The 23,779-nt window shown below is 42.0% G+C and overlaps 1 protein-coding gene and 1 long non-coding RNA gene across 22 annotated transcripts in view, besides 4 other annotated features; one reads left to right on the top strand and one right to left on the bottom strand.

Annotated features, from left to right (window-relative positions):
- The window catches only part of SLC35A3 (solute carrier family 35 member A3), a 65,639-nt gene extending 57,492 nt beyond the window's left edge, over window positions 1-8,147 (bottom strand). For 7 of the 13 annotated variants that reach the window (NM_012243.3, NM_001438728.1, NM_001271684.2 and 4 more), the window contains exon 1: window positions 7,981-8,147. Coding sequence is in view for 5 of the 13 variants with exons in the window: in NM_001271685.2 (NP_001258614.1) it covers window positions 7,499-7,606 (108 nt within the window). In the remaining 8 variants the exon portion in view is untranslated. Of the gene's footprint in view, window positions 1-3,073; window positions 3,173-7,498; window positions 7,627-7,980 lie in introns of those variants that run through there. The other 6 variants (NM_001271685.2, XM_011541137.4, XM_011541138.4 and 3 more) reach the window with 2 other exon arrangements.
- LOC124904230 (uncharacterized) overlaps window positions 1-23,779 on the top strand; it is a 124,812-nt gene that overhangs the window by 59,866 nt on the left and 41,167 nt on the right. The window lies entirely within an intron of this gene.
- Window positions 7,698-7,787: an enhancer, noted in NCBI's record as "active region_1365". NCBI's record gives its function as "activates an Ori minimal core promoter by ATAC-STARR-seq in GM12878 lymphoblastoid cells {active_cell/tissue: GM12878}" and the evidence as "EXISTENCE:reporter gene assay evidence [ECO:0000049][PMID:35858748]".
- Window positions 7,908-8,107: a silencer, noted in NCBI's record as "silent region_1115". NCBI's record gives its function as "represses an Ori minimal core promoter by ATAC-STARR-seq in GM12878 lymphoblastoid cells {active_cell/tissue: GM12878}" and the evidence as "EXISTENCE:reporter gene assay evidence [ECO:0000049][PMID:35858748]".
- Window positions 8,508-8,557: an enhancer, noted in NCBI's record as "active region_1364". NCBI's record gives its function as "activates an Ori minimal core promoter by ATAC-STARR-seq in GM12878 lymphoblastoid cells {active_cell/tissue: GM12878}" and the evidence as "EXISTENCE:reporter gene assay evidence [ECO:0000049][PMID:35858748]".
- Window positions 8,618-8,667: an enhancer, noted in NCBI's record as "active region_1363". NCBI's record gives its function as "activates an Ori minimal core promoter by ATAC-STARR-seq in GM12878 lymphoblastoid cells {active_cell/tissue: GM12878}" and the evidence as "EXISTENCE:reporter gene assay evidence [ECO:0000049][PMID:35858748]".

Here is a 23,779-nt window from a genome sequence, read left to right as displayed (position 1 = left end):
TTTTTATAACTTGAAATATTAATAACATATAATCAGATATAAAGCTTATAAGCTAGAGAAAAAAATTCCCAATTTTAGTCTCTCTGTCCCTACTAGACTATTCAAGTTGACTCCTTTAAACATAATTTATTGCTCAATCTCAGATATACTGCATGTATCAAAACATGCCAACTGAAACGTATCTATATGCAGAAAGTAAAATATAATTACTCATTAAGATAGAATTGCTCCCCACGTACTAACATTACAAGGTTCTAGCATTTTCCAGTGATTTTTCAAATGTTTAGGTATTAAAGCATACGAGGGCCAGGCACGGTGTCTCACACCTATAATCCCAGCACTTTGGGAGACCAAGATGGGAGGATCCCTTGAGCCCAGGAGTTCCAGACCAGCCTGGGCAACATAGTCGGACTCTGTCTTTACAACAAACTTTAAAAAATTAGCCAGATATTGTGGCGTGTGCCTATCTATACTCCCAGCTACTCGAGAAGCTGAGGCTGGAGGATTGCTTGAGCCCAGGAGCAATGAGCTGTAATCACATCACTGCCCGCCCTCCCTCCCTCCCTTCCTCCCTCCCTTCCTCCCTTCCTCCTTCCTTCTGAGATGGAATTTCACTCTTGTCGCCCAAGCTGGAGTGCAATGGCGTGATCTTGGCTCACTGCAACCTCTACCTCCCGAGTTCAAGTGATTTTCCTGCTTCAGCCTCCCGAGTAGCTGAGATGCTGAGATTACAGGCACCTGCCACCACGCCCAGCTAATTTTTTTTTTTTTTTTTTTTGGTATTTTTAATAGAGACGGAGTTTCGCGATGTTCGTCAGGCTGTTCTCAAACTCCTGACCTCTGGTGATCCGCCCGCCTCTACCTCCCAGAGTGCTGGGATTACAGGTGTGAGCCACTGCACCAGGCCTACTGCACTCCTTCTTGTGTGACAGAGTAAGACCCTGTCTTAAATAAATAAAGCATAGAAGGGTAATCAAGAACAATGTTTAGCTATTCAGCCTGAGGATAAACCTGAATGGTGAGGGGCCTTAAAATAGTTTTCTTTGTAGCATTCATAAATGATTTTTAAAAATTTAATGTGAAAATAATTTAACTGAAACAATATAGAATGAGCAGTTTTTATGGATTTATGGTCTGACAAACTGTCAAACATTCTTTTTTTTTCCCCAACTTTTATTTTAGATTGAAGGTAAGGGGTAGGTATGCACGTTTGTTACATGGGTAAATTGTCTGTCCTGGGGCTTTGGTGTATAGATAATTTTGTCACCCAGGTAATCAGCATAATACCCAATAGGCAATTTTTCAATCCTTACCCTCCTCCAACCCTGCACCCTTAAATAGACCTCAATGTCTATTGTGTCCCCTTCTTTGTGTTCATATGTACTCAATGTTTAGCTCCTACTTATAACTGAGAGCATGCAGTATTTAGTTTTCTGTTCCTGCATTAATTTGTTTAGAATAATGGCCTTCAGCTCCATCCATGTTGCTGCAAAGGCCATAGTCTCATGTTTCATAGCTGCATAGTATTCCAGGTGTATATGTATCATAGTTTTATGTCCAGTTCACCACTGATGGGCATCTAGATTGATTCTATGTCTTTGCTATTGTGAATAGTGCTGTGAAACTTAACAGTGCATGTGCCTTTACAGAACAATTTATCTTCCTTTGTTGTCAAAGGTTTTCAAACTTTAAAAAATCCTAGCTGCTGATTGTGTTTAAATAATTAATGTTAGATTACCACCTTCCCTTGAGAACAAGATTCCAATATTCGAATCCAAATGCTGTATAGTTTTGTTTTTTTAACAAACACCTTTTCTAAACATGAAATTGCAACCACTTCCAGGTAAACCTACAGTCTTAGAAGTTTACACATACTATAAGCTTAAGCTACAGAGAATATAAATATATATTAATTATGTTTGTTCTACATTTACTGTTCAAGTCTTATGCCACTCTGCCTAACTGAAGAGGGCAAGCTTCAGACGCTCTCAACTCTAATCTAGCCTCCATATAGCAGATATCTTAATAAGACATAGGTCTGATCACATCTCTTTTATTTTTGGGGTTTTTTTGGAGTTTTTTTGAGACCAAGTCTGACTCTGTCACCCAGGCTGGACTGCAGTGCTGTGATCACGGCTCGCTGCAGCCTCAACCTACTGGGCTCAGGCAATCCTTCTGCCTCAGCCTCCCAAGTAGCTGGACCTACAACCGCATGCTACCACAACCAGATAATTTTTTTATTTTTTGTGGAGCCGGGGTCTTGCTTCATTGCCCATGCTGGTCTCAAACTCCTGCCCTCAAGTGATCCTCTCACCTAGGCCTCCCAAAATGCTGGGATTACAGGCATGAGTCACTGTGCCTTGCCCTGTTTGTAAAGTTTAATTGACTTCTTACAAAATAGAGGATAGAGTCCAAACTCCTTCACATAAAACAGCCCTCATAATCTGGTCCCAACCTACATTTCCTGCCATAAACTATTACCTGTCTCAGTCTTGTTCTTTCATGCATTCACGAACAAATATTCGTCTTTTTAAACACCTCTTCTCCCTTCTCTATTTGTAGAACCTCTATATATCTTACAGGACTCAACATACAAGTTTTAGTGAAGTTTCATATGTCTTCCAAGCAGATTGAATCCTTCACTCTACTACACTCTCATGCCATTTTGTATATACCTTTTATAATAGCACTCATAAATTTTATCAGACTAATTTGTTGACAAATGATATACATTTCCTTCTTCTATTCACTGTATTTCCTGCTTCTCCATACCAGCACCTTTCATATATTAAGCATTTACTCTATGTTGAATTTATAAAATAATAAATAAACGCCACAATATTTATTGTGGGAGAATGATCTCTTCATAACTCTGTGTAATAACATAAAAGACAAATGCAGGGGCTGGACACGGTGGCTCAGGCCTGCAATCCCAGCACTTTGGGAGGCTTAGGTGGGCAGATCACTTGAGCCCAGAAGTCTGAGACCATCCTGGGCAACATGGTGAAAGCTGTCTCTACAAAAAATAAAAAATTAGCCAGGCATGGTGGCACATGCCAGTAGTTCCACCTACTTGGGAGGCTAAGGTGGGAGATCACTTGAGCCAGGGAGGTGGAAGTTGCAGTGAGCTGAGATTGCGCCTCTGTACTCCAGCCAAGGTGACAGTGAGACCCTGTCTCAAAAAAAAAAAAAGACAAATGCAGGTCAAAACTGGTTTGCATTAAATGTTTTCTAATAACTGTAATAACTGTACTTCATGAGAGAAGTAAAAATAGTAAGAGAATCTTGAATACCTACAGTATATCAGGCATTGTGCTAGGTGATTTACAGGTATTATCTCATTTAGATCTCATTTAATCTGTAAAAGGAGGTATTCATTTTACAGATTAAGAAACAGAGGTTCTGAGATATTAAGTGTATGGCTTGTCTTGCATAACTTGTCAGAGCTCAGACATGAACCAAGACTTATCTCAGTCAAAACCCACAGTCTTTGCAGTAAAGCCTGTGTTTAAGCATGTCTATGGACTGATCACACCAGTAATCTCAACACTTTCAGAGGCCATGGTGGGAGGATCGCTTGAGGCCAGGAGTTCAAGACCAGCCAAGCCAACATAATAAGACTTCATCTCTACAAAAAATTATTTAAAAAACAAAAAAGCACATCCAAGTATCAGAGGGTCAGTCACCATAGTATATAAAAGTATGCCTTTGGTCTCAGACTGAGTTCACATTCTGTCTCTACAACTTAGTACAGCAAATTATTTAATCTCTCTGTCCCTCCTTTCCCTTATCTATAAAATGGTGATAAGTAATAGTATGTATTTTGTAGGGTGGTTATGATTAAGGAATATAAATCAAATAAAGTGATTATTATACTACAATGCCTTATTCATTGAATACCTTTATAAAACCTACTCATGATAGAAAATACTATTAGAAATGCTGTTTGAAATTGGTTTTATAGCATATATGAATTTAGAAAAAAAACTTACATAACTTTTACAGAAAAAACTCAGCTCTAGGTAGATATAAAGTCCTATGTAGATACTTTGTGGAATGAGCTTGTTTCTTAGCATTTTATCTGACATGACTTCAAAGTTTCAGCTTCATTTTTTTTTTTTTTTTTTTGAGATGGAGTCTCACTCTGTCGCCCAGGCTGGAGTGCAATGGAGCGATTTTGGCTCACTGCAACCTCCGCCTCCCGCGTTCAAGCAATTCTCCTGCTTCAGCCTCCCGAGTAGCTGGGACTACAGGTGTCCACCACCACGCCAGGATAATTTTTGTATTTTTAGTAGAGACAGGGTTTCACCATGCTGGTCAGGCTGGTCTTAAACTCCTGACCTCGTGATCCGCCTGCCTGGGCCTCCCAAAATGCTGGGATTACAGGCATGAGCCACCACACCCGGCCCAGTTTCAGCTTCATCGTAATTCTAATTTCCACTATGCTTCCTGACCTAGCATACCTTTTCAATCAAACTTCTTATCTCTAAGTACAGCAACTTATTTTAAACTGGCTCTTTGGTTTCATTTTAGATGGTGTCTCCAATATGGATGATAAACTAGAAAGAGTTCTGGTCAGGCAATCTGGATAGAGAAGCCAAGCAACATTGTAGCTTCTAAAGTCATTTTCACACTTATATATAAAACACTCGAATTTATATAAAAGATACATTAAAGAAACAATGATTAAAAATATATAACCACTACACTCCTTCATTAATAGAGATAATTAAGTTGAACATACTTAAGAATACATTGCTTTTGTGAGGATTAAAATCTAATGTTAAGCTACCAATTCATATTCACCTGAATCTTATTTAATAATAAATTAATACTCATGAATGACATTATTAACTGTCAGTGTGATGATGTTCAAGCTATTTCAGTTACCCAGACAGGTCTATAACTTACTCTAAATTTCTGGCACTTACATGCACACACACAGACAAATCCACAGTTGATTAACATTAAACAGAAACTTCACTCTCTATACTTCTCAGGAAAGGAAAAGCTCAAAAGTTATATTTCATGGCTACTGAACAAGTTTAGGCTTTCAAACGAGATTCTTTCCATTGATTCTGTAACTTATCCAATCACTCGAGCAAAATGTTGAATTTCTACTAAGTAAAAGGCACATGTTTCAGGACACAAATTATATCAATTTCAAATATAATTGAGGCAGCCTAAGGCGTATATGTAGGTCCCAGGGCAAATTATTTGGACTGTCTGAACTTTAATATTCTTATCTATAAAATAGCGGTGATAATAACTATCCTACACCAACGATTTATTACTAGGATCAAATGAGGTACTAAAACATGGAACAGAAAAGCATTTTCAAATATTAAATCCACAGTAAGTTTCTATAACAACTCAAGAGCTCATCTTGTCTCCAGAAGCACAATAACAGTCTGTTTCATTACATGATTAATGTAACAAATATTTAAGAGTCTAATACATCATGATGTGTTCAAGTACTAAAGTGCTTTAAAAATGTAGTAAGTACAGGCTGGGCGCGGTGGCTCATGCCTGTAATTCCAGCACTTTAGGAGGTGAGGTGGGTGGATCACTTGAGGCCAGGAGTTCAAAACCAGCCTGGCCAACATGGTGAAACCCCCGTCTCTACTAAAAATACAAAAATTAGCTAGGTGTGGTGATGCACGCCTGTAGTCCCAGCTACTCGAGAGGCTGAGGCAGAAGAATCTCTTGAACCTGGAAGGCAGAGGTGGCAGTGAGGCGAGAGGGTCACGCCACTGCACTCCAGCCTGCGTGACAGAGCAAGACTCCATCTCAAAAAAAAAAAAAAAAAAAGTAGTAAGTACAAATGCTTTCCTTAGGAAGCTTACATTACAGTAGGGATAATAGAACTCTCAAATTACAATGCAAATTTAACAAGTGTTGTAAGATTTATAAAGCCCAGCACACATGAAGAAAAAAAAATGGGCTGGGCGTAGTGGCTCATGCCTGTAATCCCAACACTTTGGGATGTCGAGGCAGGTGGATCACCTGAGGTCAGGAGTTCAAGACCAGCCTGGCCAACATGGTGAAACCCCGTCTCAACTAAAACTACAAAAAAATTGGCTGGGTGTGGTGGCGGGCACCTGTAATCCCAGCTACTTCAGGAGGCTGAGGCAGGAGAATCGCTTGAACCCGGGAGACGGAGGTTGCAGTGAGCCGAGATCGCAACATTGAACTCCAGCCTGGGCAACAAGAGCAAAACTCTCTCAAAAAAAGAGAAAAAGAAAAAGAAAAAAAGAATGAACTGGATTTATGGCAGATTTCAGAAAGCTGCATAAGAAAGAGATGGCATTTAAGGAATTGAAGAATAAGTAGAATTTCTACAAAGACAGCAAGGAAGGCCTTCCTTGTTTCTTCTTTGTAGGAAGAAATGATAAAAGCAAACACCAAGGCTGACAGGCATATAGCATGTTCAGAAACTGGACGTCTAATTAACGACTAGTTTGGCTAAAAAATAGGATATGTGGAAAAAAGTAATACTTGTTTAATAAAAGGAAAAAAGAAAGAATCATATTGGGGGCCGGGTGCGGTGGCTCACGCCTGTAATCCCAGCACTTTGAGAGGCCGAGGTGGGTGGATCACGAGGTCAGGAGATCGAGACCATCCTGGCTAACATGGTGAAACCCCGTCTCTATTAAAAATACAAAAAAATTAGCCGGGCGTGGCGGCGGGCGCCTGTAGTCCCAGCTACTCAGGAGGCTGAGGCAGGAGAACGGCATGAACCCGGGAGGCGGAGCTTGCAGTGAGCTGAGATTGCGCCACTGCACTCCAGCCTGGGCGACAGAGCGAGACTCCGTCTAAAAAAAAAAAAAAAGAATCATATTGATTTTACTGGAGCCACCGTCAGACTCAAATTCTGAAGGAAAAATCTGAAGCCTCCCTAAATAATATAAAATTTATTAAATGCCTCCCTAAATAATTTACATTTTATTCTGAAGCCGATCGAGAGTCACTGCGTATTTCTGAGGAAGGAATAACCAAAAAAAGAAAGTCATAAGATCTTTGGCTTTAAAAGTAATATGGAGGCAAGTGACTGGAAGGGTGCCAGGCTGAGGACAAGTCCAGTTTGGAAGTTATTGCTATAGTGCAAGTAAGAAGAGGAAAGACGAGCATATTTAGCAGACAGGTAGTGGGAATGAAAAAGGGGAGAACTAAATTTGAGATGCTGAAGAGATAGAATCAACAGTTGGGAGGAAAGTTAGCCTCAGAAATATAAGTTTACAAGTCATTCCCTTGAAACACCCTGAGTTTACCAGTGAAAGTGAATAAGAACACCAAGTAAGAAACTGCACCAAATTTCATCTTTAACTACTAAAGTCGAATGTTGATTTCAAAAACGAAAAGACTTAATTTTCAAATACTGCATTTAAGAGAACATAATAAAAGATCGTCTTTTACTATAAAGCAATGCACCCACACACCTGTTCTGATGAGAATCTCACCCCACTTCAAACAGTCCTTGTGTTCTTACTAGCCTTACCAAGGGCAGCCTTTCCATTTCTTTAAGTTCCTGCGGCTTCTTGAGCTCCAGGTGCTGGTCGGGTGCATCTGTGCCTACCACAGGGCTCAACACCGAGCGAGAGCTCATGGGATGTTCACTGAAGGAATGACGGGCCCCAGCCGGGCCCACCCGTCACTAGCTCCGCACGCACCAGGCGCTGAGGCACACACTGCCGTCTTCATTCGCTTGACACACCCCTCTCCTCGGGCCTTTTTTCCTCCTCCACCCAGTACATTCCGCACGTCGTCCGTCGGAGTTACAACGTGTCACCTCATCTGCTCCCACCCCTACTTAGCTAGCACTGTATTTCAGGTCTTCGATACCGTCCCCTTCACCCCTACAGACTTCACATCAGCCCCCTCGCATGCCTCCTCTTCCTCCTCCTCCAGGAGCTTCCCGGGCCGCCCCGCAGCCGCTAGCCTCCTGGTTCCCGCCCCTCCCCAGGTGCGCTGAGGACTCACCTCCCGCGCAGCTCGACCGGCTGAGCCCACCACCGGGGGCCGCGGTTCAGCTCCGCCGGGCGCCCCAGGCTGCCGAGTCCGCTGGGTCCTACGCGACCGCTGACCCGCAGCGCCGCCGGCTCCCGTCGCCGTAGCCACCGCCAGCTCGGTGCAGCCCAGGCGTTTCCGGGTTCCCGCGGTCCCGTCCCCCAAATGCTCCGGCTTCCGCCTCGGCTCTGGCAAATGCCGTTCCCGGCTCGGCTCTGGCAGCCCCAGCTCGGCACTTGGCAGCTCTGTCCCTAAGGCGACGCACCTGGGCTGCTCTGCTGGCAGCCCCTGGTTCCTGCTTCACCGTCGCGTGGAGGCCTGGGGCACTGCTTTCTGCTACACCTCTCCTAGGAGCGCGAAACAGATGGAGTGACACTCGTCGAGGGCCTCTGCGGGACTGTCTGTTTGCAGAGGGTGCCAAGGTGTCCACTGCGTAAGGAAGGGCAAAGTCCTTTGGGGCAAAGAACCCTGAGAGGAACGGGGAGATGGATTTTGAAAGCAAACGAACCCTCTCCTAAAAGTGACTGTCACTGACCTGAAAACAACCAGATTAGCTATGGCAAAGGCTGCCAACCAACCAGTGGTCTGCAAGAAGGCTTGTTCTTCCACTTCACCCACCCTGACTGAGATCTTGAGACTGAAGGAAACCCAAAGCCGTACCACCAATGGGCCTAGTGTCATCAACCGGGAGAGGAAAAAGAAAACTGGGCCCAGAGGATTGCAGAGTTATGAGGGACCAACCCCTTCCTGGCTGCATGGATCACAGCATTACCTTTTAAAAGTGTTCCAGTAGCTGTGTTGGAAACCCTCTAACCACGGCAGCCCATTCAGGTGATGAACAGGCTGAAATCAGTACTTCAGGTTCAGCTGGATTATCAAATAAGCGAATAGGATTATCTCTTTTTGTTAACTCAGGGCTGCTATAAATTAAGCCTATGTCTCTTTATATTGCAAATGATTAAAACCATGTCCAAGAGAGACATACTTAGAAAAAAAGTGATATTGAAGAAAAATAAGTAACTGTATTAGAGTAGAATAACTGGTTTTAAAATTTTCTGCAATACAGTCTTGAGAAAATTCCTGGATGGTAAAATACATATTAGATCTTAATACATGCCCAGTTTTTTTTGAAACCAAAATGTGCCTGTTAGATGATGATAACAGCATGCCTCGTTTTATTGTGATTTGCTTTATTGCTCTTCACAGACATTGCTTTTGTTTTTTTGTTTTTTTTTTTTACAAATTGAAGGTTTGTGGCAACCTTGCCTCAAGCACATCTATTGGTGCCATTTTTCCAACAGCATGTGCTCACTTTGTGTCTCTGTGTCACATAATATTCAATAATTTTTGCAATATTTAAATTTGTTCATCATTATTATATCTGGTATAGTGCTTTGTGATCAATGATCTTTGATGTTACTATGGTAATTGTTTTGGGGTGCTGATATGGTTTGGCTGTGTCCCCACCCAAATCTCAACTTGAACTGTATCTCCCAGAATTCCCACGTGTTGAGGGAGAGACCTAGGGGGAGATAATTGAATCATGGGGGCCAGTCTTTCCTGTGCTATTCTCATGATAGTGAATAAGTCTCATGAAATCCGATGGGTTTATCTGGGGTTTCTGATTTTGCTTCTTCCTCATTTTTCTCTTGCTGCAGCCATGTAAGCAAGTACCTTTCACCTCCCGCCATGATTCTGAGGCCTCCCCCGCCATGTGGAACTGTAGGTCCAATTAAACTTCTTTTTCTTCCCAGTCTCGGGTATGTCTTTATCAGCACCATGAAAATGGACTAATACAGGTGCCATGTACTGCACTCATATAGAAAGGCAAACTTAATTAATAAATGTTATGTGTGTTCTGACTACTCCACCAACTGCCCATTTCCCCACACTTCTCCCCCTTGGGCCTCCCTATTTCCCAATAAACAGCAATATTGAAATTAGGCCAATTATTAACCCTACAATGGCTTTGAAGGAAATCAAAATATTTTACCCCAAAATATACTACTTTGACATATTTTGAGATGACTGTTTAGAGGGCCTGCAATCAGAAGTAGCCTTTGCAGGCCAGATGTGGTGGCTCACGCTTGTAATCCCAAGACTTTGGGAGGCTGAGGCCAGCGGATTGCTTGAGCCCAGGAGATCGCGACCAGCCTGAGCAACATATTGAGATCCCATCACTACAAAAAATAAAAATTTAAACATGTACCAGTCATAATGGTACATGCCTTTAGTCCTAGCTACTCATGAGGGAGGCTGAGGTGGGACGATCACTTGATCCCAGGAGTTCAAGGCCACATTAAGCCATGATCATGCTACTGTACTCCAGCCTGGCTGATAGAGCAAGACCCTGTCTCAAAAAAAAAAAAAAAAAAAAAGTAGCCCAGTAGCCCTGCAAAACTGTCTCTTGTAGGGCAGATTTGCATCTGTGGAGAATCTGCATTAATGTAGCCAGGCTTTCTCTGAGGCCCTTCCTTGTCCAGATCTAGGAAAGATTTACTGAGATTCTGACACTTTTAAAGGTCTGAAAGAAACTTCCACCATCTATTCTCTCTGAGGGCTGCTACCCACCTTTGTTAGTCAGGCCTCTGCTTCTGTCCCTCCCGTAACTTGTTTTGCCACTATAACCTGATTTACCACCATAATCTATTTTTGGCCATGCTTGGAGCTCTCATTCTTTGTAAAGATGGTATACCCTTCTGTACTACATGGGGGATAAGAGTAATCACCCTGTGATTTCTCCTCATGTACACTAATAAATTTCTATGCCTTTTTTCTTTTCTTTCTTTTTTTTTTATTTATTTTTTTTTTAGTTAGGGTCTCTCTCTAGAAGGAGTGCAGTCGCATGATCATGGCTCACTGTAGCCTTGACCTCCAAGGTCCTCCTGCCTCAGCCTCCCACTTAAGCAACCCTCCTGCCTCAGCCTCCTGAGTAGCTGGGACTATAGGCACATGCCACCATACCTGGCTAATTTTTTTTTACTTTTAATAGAGATGGGTTCCCACTATTTTATGCAGGCTGGTCTCAAACTCCTGAGCTCCAGTGATCTTCTTGCCTCAGCCTCCCATTGTATTGGGATTACAGGCATGAACCACCGTGCCCAGCCTGCCTCTTCTCTTATTAATCTGACTTTTGTCAGTTGATTATTCAGCCAACCTTCAGAGGGCGAAGAGGAAGGTACAGAAGCTCACCAGGGCAAGAATGTCAGCTGAGCCTGAACTGCAAGTCTGGACATCCAACAATTCAAATCAGTACCCAAGGTCTGCAGCTCTTTCAAATGAGAAAAAGATAATAGTCTAAAGGCAGCCAGGGCCAAATAGGACTATGTGTCTCAGTGGTACCTAATTAGAATTGTCGGATAAAATAGAGGCCTTCGCCTGGCGCAGTGGCTCACGCCTGTAATCCCAGCACTTTGGGAGGCCGAGGCAGGCAGATCACCTGAGTTTGGGAGTTCGAGACCAGCCTAACCAACATGGAGAAACCCCGTCTCTCCTAAAAATACAAAAAATTAGCGGGGCGTGGTGGCACATGCCTGTAATCCCAGCTACTCAGGAGGCTGAGGCAGGAGAATTGCTTAAACCCGGGAGGCAGAGGTTGCGGTGAGCCAAGGATTGCACCATTGCACTCTAGCCTGGGCAACAAGAGGGTAAACTCTGTCTCAAAAAAAAAAAAAAAAAAAAAAAAAAAAACAGAAGCCTTGTTAAATTTAAATTTCAAATAAGCAACGAAGTATGGAATATTTCGGATATACTTTAAAAAATTCATTGATTATCAGAAATTCTAATTTAACTGGATGTCCTGTAATTTTATTTGCTAAATGTGGCAACCCTATTGAAGGCATGAGTGCATTATGATATTGTACAATAACTGGGATTCCCTATGATGCCCCAGAGAAATTAAGGCCAGATCAAATTATGTTTAGTGCAGTTGACGCTGCAAACATTATGCACACAAAATGACATTCTCTAGATCAATATCTTCAGACAGTGCCAAGCTGGTAGACTTTAATGGATAAAGGTCAGACGTTGTTAGAAAACCCAGGAGAAAATAATGAAAAGACAACAAACAAGAAAGAAAGAGGGCAGGGACTATGTTGATAGACATTTTTAAGGAATTTCTGCTCAAAATGGTTAAAATATTGAAAAAAATTTCAGTGCTTAGAGAATTAAGCTGCAGGTTTCCAGGTGTCACTTGACAAATATTTTGTTCCTATGCCATCATAGCTTTTAAAACTATTTAATTGAAATTTCAGCTCAGGAGCAGGAAAAACCAGTTTGTTGTTTCAAGCTGCCAAATCATAGTAATTGAATCTGGCTTTTTCTTGTTAGTTCTTCAGGGGGAAAAAGAAACCTATGTGTAAACAAAACTGGAAAGGATTGCCAAAGATTATCTACTTGTCCATCATTTACTTCTAAGAAGAGTTGAATGAGGTTACTTCCATTATAAGAGCTTAACTGTCAATATGAATATGGTCCTTTGATTCTGAGATGGATCTGTAGAGTTTAACATTCTCTAGAACATGGATCTGATAGGTTTGAAATAAAACTTACTTTTCATTTCTGAGGAAGAGTATTTCAGTGGCTTCTGGTTTTTTCCTATAGTAGACTTATTCTTCGAGTCAGGGGCCCAGGAGGAGATTTCAGGGAGATGAGGCCCTTTCCTCCCTCTGTACATTCGGAAACTGGAGAAGCTACCCTGCATGATTGCTACCCTATGGGGCTTGTTGATCAAAGCTTCAGTTATCACTTGATGCTCTAAAGTCTATTTGAGAATCAATGAATTGGTTTCATCTCAGAGTCAGGGTTAAATATAAATTAAAGCCTTGGGGATTCTCCTGTATCTAGCACAGTTACCTGATAAAATCACCACAGCTTCCTTTGTGGAAGACTAGAGAAAGGTGCACAGTATGTATAGTATGCACTTGTGCTGTTAAAGGGACCTCTTAAATCTGGGAATGGGGGCTACAACTCCAGTAAAGTTGGGCCTCATTTACCAGTCCTAGTGTACATTTGATTACGAAGTTCATATGCAATTGGATTGTGCTGTTCACCAACTATTTCCCACTCTCAACCTGCAGGGCACTTCTTAAAGTAGGTTGCACTCTCAGGCTCTCTTGTGGTTGAGTGAGACCACATGTCCAGTTCTGGCCAATTACCTCAGGGCCAGGGCACTGAATTGCCAATTTGCGACTGTTTAGACTCCTCTTTCTCTCTGCCTTTGAGTCTGGCAATGTGCAGCATTGCTTCATCATCAGACTGTATCCTAGAATTAGGAGATGTATAACCTACAGTAAACGTATAGCATGAACAAGAAATACATTTTTTATTATTTTATGTTACAAATGAGAAAAGAAAAATAGCTCAGGGCAGTCTGAGCTTTGGGAGGTATGCAGTCCCAAAGAGACAAGAGCATGGGATTTTGGTCATTCTTGCCTTCCATCCTGCAACTCCCACTCTACATCCATGCTTGGGGACAATTATTTAAAGTAATTTTCTTCCTGACTAGCTGCCTCACCCATGATCTTTGTGTTCCCAGAATTTATGATGCAAAACAACAACAACAACAACAACAACAACAACAACAACAACAACAATGTATAGCCCATCAGTAGCTTGGGTTTAAAATAACATTTTAATTTACATTAAAATATGTAAATTCTTGGTAAACAAGTCAGGAGCTGCCTCTTCTTTTCCTTTAAAAATCCACTTGTAACTGCTGCTAATCAGAGTGTATATTTAGGGCAACTTGAATCTGTACTCCTAAGTTGCAATCCTCAAGCTTGGCCCAAATTCTACTTATATTAATTTTGCCTCCACATCTTCCTTTGAGGTCACACTAAGATTTTGCCAATTTCCAAGCACTTGGAAGTTGAAAAAAAATTTTTTTGACAAAACCTAGCATATATTGATTAATACAGAAACTTATGGCCAGAGATGGGTGTATTTTAACAAAAGCATGACTTTTGTGACTTTGACTTAGGGGCCAAGTGATGGGGGCAAGCAAACTGATTTTAGCAGCTGGAAGAATGATAACCCATGGTGTACTATGGAATATTTGATAAAACTGTGACCTACAATTACTTAAAAGTTAAATAATGAACATAGTAAGTTTATAGCTCCAGTGCAAGAGACTAGAAAACAAAATGTTAATAGCATGTGTAGGTTAATGTTGGATGTATTTGAAAGACACTTCATGAAAGAGAAATAGCCAAAAAATAATTTACTAATTTGTAAGCAGGAATGGAAAGGAATAAAGACAACATAGAAATTCAGGAACTGGCACAGTTGACAATGGCAAATACTTTTCTAATGGAAGCCTTTAATAATAATTTTAAAAAATCAAACCAAGCCTATCCCTGTCATACCTATCTTTAAAATCTCTAAATGGATTGAGATATCACCTAGTAAGTCCTTTCAATTGGATGAAATGGCTAAATGAACAGGGAATAAAGGTGTTGGTCTCCCACCAAGCTTGATAGGCTCAAGGTACCTAGAATTAAGTAGACAGATAAATGGAGATATGTCAAGGAAAGAACTGTGTTATGGCCATTGGCAAATGAAGCTGATTGGAATCTAAGAGATAAGAAACCAGTAATGTTTATAAGATAATTGTATTGCCAAAGGAGCCAAGAGCCTAGACAAAACTTAACATGTCTCTTTGGCCTACAGCCCTCTATACACAGGAAATGAGCTCAGGATACTGGTTAGCCTCCAAAGAGTGCATATTCTCCAATACCCTCTTCACATATAACTAAAAAATATAATAAAGGAAGAACTGTCTCCCAGAAGGTCAAATCAAGGAACATAAAGAACAATGAATTGGGAACCCCCTTCTAGAGGGCAGAATTAGCATCTAATTCAAGAACTATTTAATATCACCTACACCCAGGATAGCAGGACTTCACAATGTGTTGCCACTGAGCAGTGTCAGCTCTGTTCATTGACTTTACTCTCATTTTTTCCCAATGACTCACCACATCTCTTCCCTCTAATATACTTTCTGTGATCTAAGAATTTGCCTGTTCTAGATATTTTATATGTGTTATCATACAATATTTGTCCTTTTTTATTTAACTTCTTTCATTTAGCACCATGTTTTCAAGGTTCATCCATATTGTAATCTGTATCAGAACTTATTCCTTCTTCTGGCTGAACAATAACCCATTTTATGGATATACCACATTTTATTTATCCCTTCATCCATCAGTAGACATTTGAGTTGTTTCTACCTTTTGGGTGTTATGAATAATGCTGCTATGAACATTTATGTACAAGTATCTTATTCGTTTAAGTCCTTGTGTTTTTTTGTTTTGTTTTGTTTTTTTGTTTTTTTGAGACAGAGTCTTGCTCTATTGCCCAGGCTGGAGTGTGGTGGTGCAATCTCGGCTCACTGCAACCTCTGCCTCCTGGGTTCAAGTGATTCTCCTGCCTCAGCCTTCCGAGTAGCCAGGACTACAGACACATGCCACTACACCTGGCTAATTTTTGTATTTTTAGTAAAGACTGGGTTTCGCCATATTGGCCATGCTGGTCTCAAACTCCTGACCTCAAGTGATACTCCCACCTTGGCCTCCCAAAGTGCTGGAATTACAGGAATGAGCCACCGTGCCCAGCCAAGTCCTTGTTTTCAATTCCTCCACGTATATAAGTAGGAGAGGAATGCTGAGTTATATGGTAATATTATGTTTAAATTTATTTTTTTAGAGGCAAGTTCTGGCTCTGTTGCCTAGGCTGGAGTACAGTGGCATGATCTCATAGCTCACTGCCACCTCAAACTCCTGGGCTCAAGTGATCTTACAGCTTCATCCTCTTAAGTAGCTAGACCTACAGCTATGCGCCACCATGCCTGCCTAATTTTTTTTTATTTTTAGTAGTGATAAGGTCTCCCAATATTGCCCAGGCTGGCCTTTTTTAAAAAAAAAATTTAATATTTAAAAAATAGAGGCTAAGCAACATGGCTCATACCTGTAATCCTAGCACTTTGGGAGACCACAGCGGGCAGATCAGGAGTTCAAGACAAGCCTGGGCAACATAATGAAACCCTGTCTTGACAAAAAAATACCAAAAAAAGTAGCCAGTAGTTCCAGCTACTTGGGGGCTGAGGTGGGCGCATCACTTGAGCCCAGGAGGTGGAGGCGGCAGTGAGCCAAGATCATGCCACTGCACTCCAGCCTAGGTGACAAAGAAAGACTCTGCCTTAAAAAAAAAAATTAATTTAATTTAAAAAATAGAGAGAGATGGGGTCTCACTATGTTGCCCAGGTTGATCCTGAACCTTTGGACTCAAGTGATCCTCCTACCTCAGCCTCCCAAAGTGTTGGGATCACAGATGTGAGCCACCACACCCAGCCTAATTCTTTTTTAAGATTTTTTTTCCTTGTTATCTTCTTCTTAAATTTTTTTGTTTTTTGAGACAGGGTCTTGCGCTGTTGCCCAGGCTGGAGTACAGTGGCAGAATCATGGCTCACTACATCCTTGACCTCCTGGAGTTAACTGATCTTCCCACCGCAGTCTTCAAAGTAGCTGGGACTACAGGCACTCACCAGCATGCCTGGCTAATTTTTGGATTTTTTGTAGAGACAGGGTTTCGCTGTGTTGCCCAGGTTGGTCTTGAACTCCAGGCCTCAAATGATCTGCCAGCCTTGGCCTAACAAAGTGCTGGGATTACAGGCATGAGCTGTCCCACCTGGGCTGTCATCTTAATTATTTCCATTTGGTACATTTAATCTTTGAGGAACTGCCAAACTGTTTTTCAAAACAGCTGTACCATTTTGTTTTATTTATTTATTTAATAATAGAAATGGGATCTTGCAATGTTGGCCAGGTTGGTCTCAAACTCTTGGGCTCAAGTGAGTCTCCCACCTCAACCTCCCACAGCACTGGGATTACTTGTGTGAGCCACTGCACCTGGTCCCAAATTTTAGACAAAGCTTTACTCCTTTAATCAATTGCAAATTAAAGAATCTCTGAAGACACCTATGACCTGTAAGCCCCCACTTCAAGATATTCTGCCTTTTTTTTAAAAATTATACTTTTAAGTTTTAGGGTACAGGTGCACAATGTGCAGTTTGTTACATATATATACATGTGCCATGCTGGTGTGCTGCACCATTAACTCGTCATTTAACATTAGGTATATCTTGGCCGGGCGCGGTGGCTCACGCCTGTAATCCCAGCACTTTGGGAGGCCGAGGCGGGTGGATCACGAGGTCAGGAGATCGAGACCATCCCGGCTAAAACGGTGAAACCCCGTCTCTACTAAAAATACAAAAAATTAGCCGGGCGTAGTGGCGGACGCCTGTAGTCCCAGCTACTTGGGAGGCTGAGGCAGGAGAATGGCGTGAACCCGGGAGGCGGAGCTTGCAGTGAGCCGAGATCCCGCCACTGCACTCCAGCCGGGGCGACAGAGCGAGACTCCGTCTCAAAAAAAAAAAAAAAAAAAAAAAAAAAAACATTAGGTATATCTCCTAATGCTTCCCTCCCCACTCCCCCCACCCCACAACAGGCCCCAGTGTGTGATGTTCCCCTTCCTATGTCCATGTATTCTCTTTGTTCAATTCCCACCTATGAGTGAGAACATGCGGTGTTTGGTTTTTTGTCCTTGCGATAGTTTGCTGAGAATGATGGTTTCCAGCTTCATCCATGTCCCTACAAAGGACATGAATTCATCATTTTTTATGGCTGCATAGTATTCCACGGTGTATACATGCCACATTTTCTTAATCCAGTCTATCATTGTTGGACATTTGGGTTGGTTCCAAGTCTTTGCTATTGTGAATAGTGCCGCAATAAACATACGTGTGCATGTGTCTTTATAGCAACATGATTTATAATCCTTTAGGTATAGATAGTCTGCCTTTTTAGGCCAAAGCAATGTATAACCTCCATATATTGATTTATGACTTAGCCTGTAACTTCTACTTCCCTAAAATATATAAAACAGGCCAGGTGAGGTGACTCATGCCCGTAATTCCAGAACTTTGGGAGGCTAAAGTGGGCAGATCACTTGAACGCAGGAGTCAAGACCAGTGGGTAACATGGTGAACCCTCATCTCTACAAAAAATACAAAAATTAACCAGGCATAGTAGTTCACAGCTATAGTCCCAGTTATTTGGGAGGCTGAGGTGGGAGGATCACTTGAGCCCAGGATGTAGAGGCTGCAGCAAACCAAATCATGCCACTGCACTCCAGCAGGGTGACAGAGTGAGACCCCGTCTCAAAAAAAAAAAAAAAAAAAGATGGCATAAACATATTCCATGCTATTTCTCCCAGAGAATACAACAAAAATTCTGGGGAGAATACATGAAACTGTTGTACCTGACCGAGTTAGAGAAAACGCCACACTTTGAGACGAATTAAGAGTCCTTTATTAGCTGGTGACCAAGAGACGGCTAATGCTCAAAATTCTCTTGGCCCCGAGGAAGGGGCTTGATTAACTTTTATACCTTGGTTTAGGAAGGGGAGGCGAGGGGGGGGCTAGTTAAAACAATTTTACAGAGGTTAAGTAGTCAAAAAAGTTAAAAGAATAAATGGTTACAGGAAAGTAAACATTTCCAGGTGCAGGGGCTTTAAGACTATTACAAGGTGATAGACGCGGGGCTTTGGGCGTTATCAATCAGACGAATTCTTGTGGACTGCGGATATAGCTTGCCACAGTATCTTATCAGTTAATTGCATTCTTGGATGTGCTGGGAGTCAGCTTGCACAAGTTAAGTCCTTGAGGAAGGGGCTGCCAATGAAAGAGCCAAGATGGAGTTTGTCTGGTTCTCTTAGCTAAGGGAGGAACAAGGCCAGGTGAATAAGGAAAAAACAAGGTTGGGCATTACAAAACAAATAACTGAGATTAGTAAAATAAATAATAAAGGTAATAAAGAAAATAATAGAAGATAAATTGGGTAAGAAATTAAAACTCAAAGACCAACAAAATGGTGAGTTTCGTATATTTTTCTCTCTACTATCTCAAAGCAAGAAAAATTCTGGAATGTTGCAAAAGGAACACCAAGATGTATCTCTATCTTTAAAAAGAAAACTGGAAAGAGGCCCCTCTGACAAATGAGGAACTATTCTGTTTCTGTTTTCTTTTATTGGCTCTGTAGGGCTCCAGTTCTAAAGCTGCATTCTCCCTATGGATGGTGACTCTATCAGCAGCTGAGCTTGCTGATTTGCCTTGGAGATTGTCTTAGTCTACTTTGGCTGCTATAACAAATTACCTTAGACTGGGGAATTTATTTATTTTTATTTTATTTTTTTGAGACAGAGTTTTGCCCTTGTTGCCTAGGCTGGAGTGCAGTGGCGTAATCTCGGTTCAATGTAATGTCTGCCTCCCGGGTTCAAGCTATTCTCCTGCCTCAGCCTTCCCAGCAGCTGGGATTATAGGCGCACATCACCACACCCAGCTAATTTTTTGTATTTTTAGTAGAGACGGGGTTTCACCATGTTGACCAGGCTAGTCTTGAACTCCTGACCTCAGATAATCCACCCACCTCAGCCTCCCAAAGTGCTAGGATTACAGATGTGAGCCACTGTGCCAGGCCAGACGGGGGAATTTATAAACAACAGAAACCTATAGCTCAGAGCTCTGGAGTCTAGGAAGTACAAGATCAAGTCACCAGCTGATTCAGTGTCTGGTGAGGGCCTGTTCCTCATAGGTGGTATCTTCCATGTCCTCACATAGTGGAAGGGGCAAAGGAACTCCCTCAAGCCTCTTCTAAAGGGCATTAATCCCGTTCATGAGGGCTCTACCTTCTAATCACTTCCTAAAGACCCGACCTCCTCATGGTAATTGATGGTAATTGGGGAATAAGTTCTAATTTATGAATTTTGAGGGGACACAAACATTCAGATCATAGCAGAGATGGATCCAGTTGTGGGAGGTGTCTGACAGCACAGGAAGACTGAAAACCAGGCATTTGGGCCACAGAACCAGGATAAGGAGCTCTGGGAGCCAGAGACTATTGTGGAGATTTTGGAGAAGAGGACTTCAAAGAGAGTTGAAGTCTTAGGATCACTCCCAAGGTGTTTGTGGGAAAAACTTATCTGAAATAGAAGAGTGTAAGGGAGGGAAAGACTTTCCCTTTACCCACCTAGGATCAATAGCTAGGTCTAGGATACAGACTGACAACAGGTGATTAACAGGAGAAAAGGTATGCTAATTTATTATGCGCATGGGAGCATCACAGGAAAAAAAGGCAAATACCCAAAAAGCAGTGAGATTTGAAAGCTTGTATATCATCATCACAAGGGAAAGGGCAGAAGAGATGTGGGCATTTTGGGGAGATTAAATGATTTTTAGTAAAGATGAATGGGCCAGGTGTGGCTCATGCCTATAATCCCAGCACTTTGGGAGGCTGAGGCGGGAGGCTCACTGGAGCTCATGAATTTGAGACCACCTTGGGCAACATGGCAAAACCCTGCCTCTACAAAAAATTCAAAAATTAGTGTGGTGTGGTGGCGAGCACCTGTAGTCCCAGATACTTGGGAGGCTGAGGTGGGAGGATGGCTTGAGTCCAGGAGGCAGAAGTTGCAGTGAACCGAGATTGTGTCATTGCACTCCAGTCTGAGCAACGAGAGTGAAACCCTGTCTCAAAAAATAAAAATAAAAAATAAAGATGAATGATGGGTCCCTTGGAAGAATAGATGGGAGATATGATAGTTTCTGACAAAGTTTGTCTGGGGATAGTATCTAGTCTGCTTTCCTATGATGCATTAATCTTTTCTGTTGATGAAACTCCTGGGAAGGGGATTGATGACAATTGAGTTCCTTTTGGAATATCTGTCTTTAGGCAGATACAGGGAGTTCAGAGAAAGCTTGTCTCTGCATTTGTTGTTTTTTAAGTGTCTTCACCTCAAAATAATCAGTATACCAAAGTGGCATATTTTGAGGTGGCATATCCTAAACTACTTCAAGACCAAGGGCTTTGAACACTGGTGTGTGGTGTAGACCCCCACCCAGGTCCCATTTAGCCCCTGGGGGAAACATACATAGAACAGATTGAAATACTCTGCAAAAGCTTGAAAACTGAAATTACATTCCATGGTCCATAGAAGGCAGGCTAGACTTTGGCCTGAACGTAACTGAGACAACTATCTGCTAAACCAAAACAAAGAAAAAATCCAGCATTCCTCAGAGGATTTTAACAGGACTTACAGTCTCATAACATAATAATAAAAACATCCTGGATACAATACAAAATTGCTCAACATTGAAAAAAACAACAGAAACAAAAACAGGAAAATTGCAGCAACTCATGGTGGAAAAAACAGCAAATCCCAGCCCAAGATGACTCAGAATTATCAGACCTAGACTCAATAATAGCTTGAGAGCAGAGTGGAAAAAAAGGAAAGGATCTATAAACGTGAAGAGCAATAGAAATTATCCAATCTGAACCACAAAAAATATTGAAAAAAAAATTGAACAGTGCCTCAGGGAACTGTGGGGTGATATCAAATAGTATAACATTCATTTCATTAGGGCAGGAGAAGGAAAGGAGAATGAAATTAGTGCAGAAAAAAATATTAGAAGAATGAGGTTGGAGGATGCACACTACTCAATTTTAAGAATCATTATAGGCCGGGCGCGGTGGCTCACGCCTGTAATCCCAGCACTTTGGGAAGCCAAAGGGGGCAGATCACAAGGTCAGGAGTTTGAGACCAGCCTGGCCAATATGGTAAAATCCCGTCTCTACTAAAAATACAAAAATTAGCTGGGCATAGTGGCAGGCGCCTGTAGTCCCAGCTACTGGGGAGGCTGAGGCAGAAGAATCCCTTGAGCCCGGGAGGCAGAGCTTGCAGTGAGCCGAGATTGCACCACAGCACTCCAGCCTGGGCGACAGAGCAAGACTCTGTCTCAAAAAACAAACAAACAAACAAACAAAACATTAGAAGAACAAGGTTGGAGGACACACACTACTCAATTTTAAGAATCATTACAGGCTGGCTGAGGTGACTCATGCCCGTAATTCCAGCACTTTGGGAGGCCGAGGCAGGTGGATCTTCTGAGGCCAGGAGAAAAAAACTCGATTTTAAAAACTGAGGCTGAGGGCTGTGACTTACACCTGTAATACCAGCACTTTGGGAGACTGAGGTAGGAGGATCACTTGAGGCCAGGAGTTCCAGGCCAGCCTCAGCCACATAGCGAGGCCTGTAGCTCTACATAAAATAAAAAAATTTGCTGGGCATGGTGGTATGCCCTTGTGGCCTCAGTTACTTAGACGACTGAGGTTGCAGGATCGCTTGAGCCCAGGAGGTTGAGGCTGCAGCGAGCCATGATTGTGTCACTGCACTCCAGCCTGGGCAACAGAGTGAGTCTCTGTCTCTAAATAAATAAATAAATACATAAATAAATAAATAAAAGGCAAAGGTTTTGAACAGATTCCTCCCCAAAGAAGATACAGATGACAAATAAACATGGGAAAAGATGGTCAACGTCATTAGTCATTAGGCAAATGTAAATTAAAAATCACAATAATATGCTCTTACATACCTATTAGAATGGCCAAACAAAAAACTGACAATACCAAGTGCTGACAAGGATGCAGAGTAACTTAAGTTATCATACATTATTATACAGTATCACACAGCTACTGTGGACGTTTTTCAGTTTCTTATAAAGTTAAACATACACTTAAATGACCCAGCAATTTGGCTTATAGGTGTTTACTCAAGAGAACTGAAAACTTATGTTCGCACAAATCCTATGCATGAATGATTATAGTAACATTATTCATAACTGCTTAAACTTGGAAACAAGTGAAATGTTTTTCAATGGGTGAATGAATAAACAAACTGTGATACATCTGTACAATGGAATACTGTATGATTCTATCATACGACACCCAGGAAAAGGCAAAATTACTAGAGACCAAGAGCAGATCAGTGGCGGTGCACTGTGGCTCAGGCCTGTGATCCCAGCACTTTGGGAGGCTGAGGTGGGTGGATCACTTGAGGTCAGGAGTTTGAGACCAGCCTGGCCAACATGGTGAAACCCCATCCTACCAAAAATACAAAAATTACCCGGACGTGGTGGTAAGCATCTGGAATCCCAGCTACTCTTGTGGCTGAGGCATCACTTGAAACTGGGAGGCTGAGGTTGCAGTGAGCCAAGATTGCGCCACTACACTTTGGCCTGGGCGACAGAGCCATGGAACAGCTCTCAGAAGAGAGGGGATGCAGGGGCTGGGGGGTGGTCCCACACCCCTGCAGTCAGGTGGTTTTTCTCTCTTAGTGTGGCTGGGTCCTGGGCTTTTTATGGACTCAGAATGGGGAGTGCATGCTGATTGGTTTGTGAGTATGTAAAAAAGGTTAAAACGAAGACTCCACTCAAAGGTGGGCATGACAGTGGAGAAAACCAATTAGGAAAGGGTAGATAAATGTAAAATAGGTAAAGGGTGGGGATCAATCAGAGGAAAGTGCACCAAATAAGAAGACAGGTTCTCAGTTCAGCTGAGAGATTTGACTTGTAGTTTGGTTTTCAGGCTTTAAACGGTCCTTGGCTTGGAGGAGGGGTTTCACTGGGGACCCACCCCTATTTGTCTAGGCATTTGTCTGCGTCCTGTGACTCTCAGTATGATCAAATTAGATTATAAAATATCTTAAAAGGGTTCTATTCAGATTGGTTTAGAGATAAATAAGGCTTATATAATACTTGAAATAGCCAGAAATTTAGGGGATTGACCTTCCAATAATTTCAATGTGCTGTTAAAATGTACTTTTATAGAGACTAATTTAAATGGTTTAAGAATTTAAGTTCACATTATTTATGTGAATATTTGGC

The sequence above is a fragment of the Homo sapiens genome, chromosome 1, assembly GCF_000001405.40.
Source record: "Homo sapiens chromosome 1, GRCh38.p14 Primary Assembly".
NCBI lineage: Eukaryota > Metazoa > Chordata > Mammalia > Primates > Hominidae > Homo > Homo sapiens.
The sequence above is the reverse complement of the archived record's forward strand: the minus strand, read 5'-3'. Positions and strand labels throughout refer to the sequence as shown.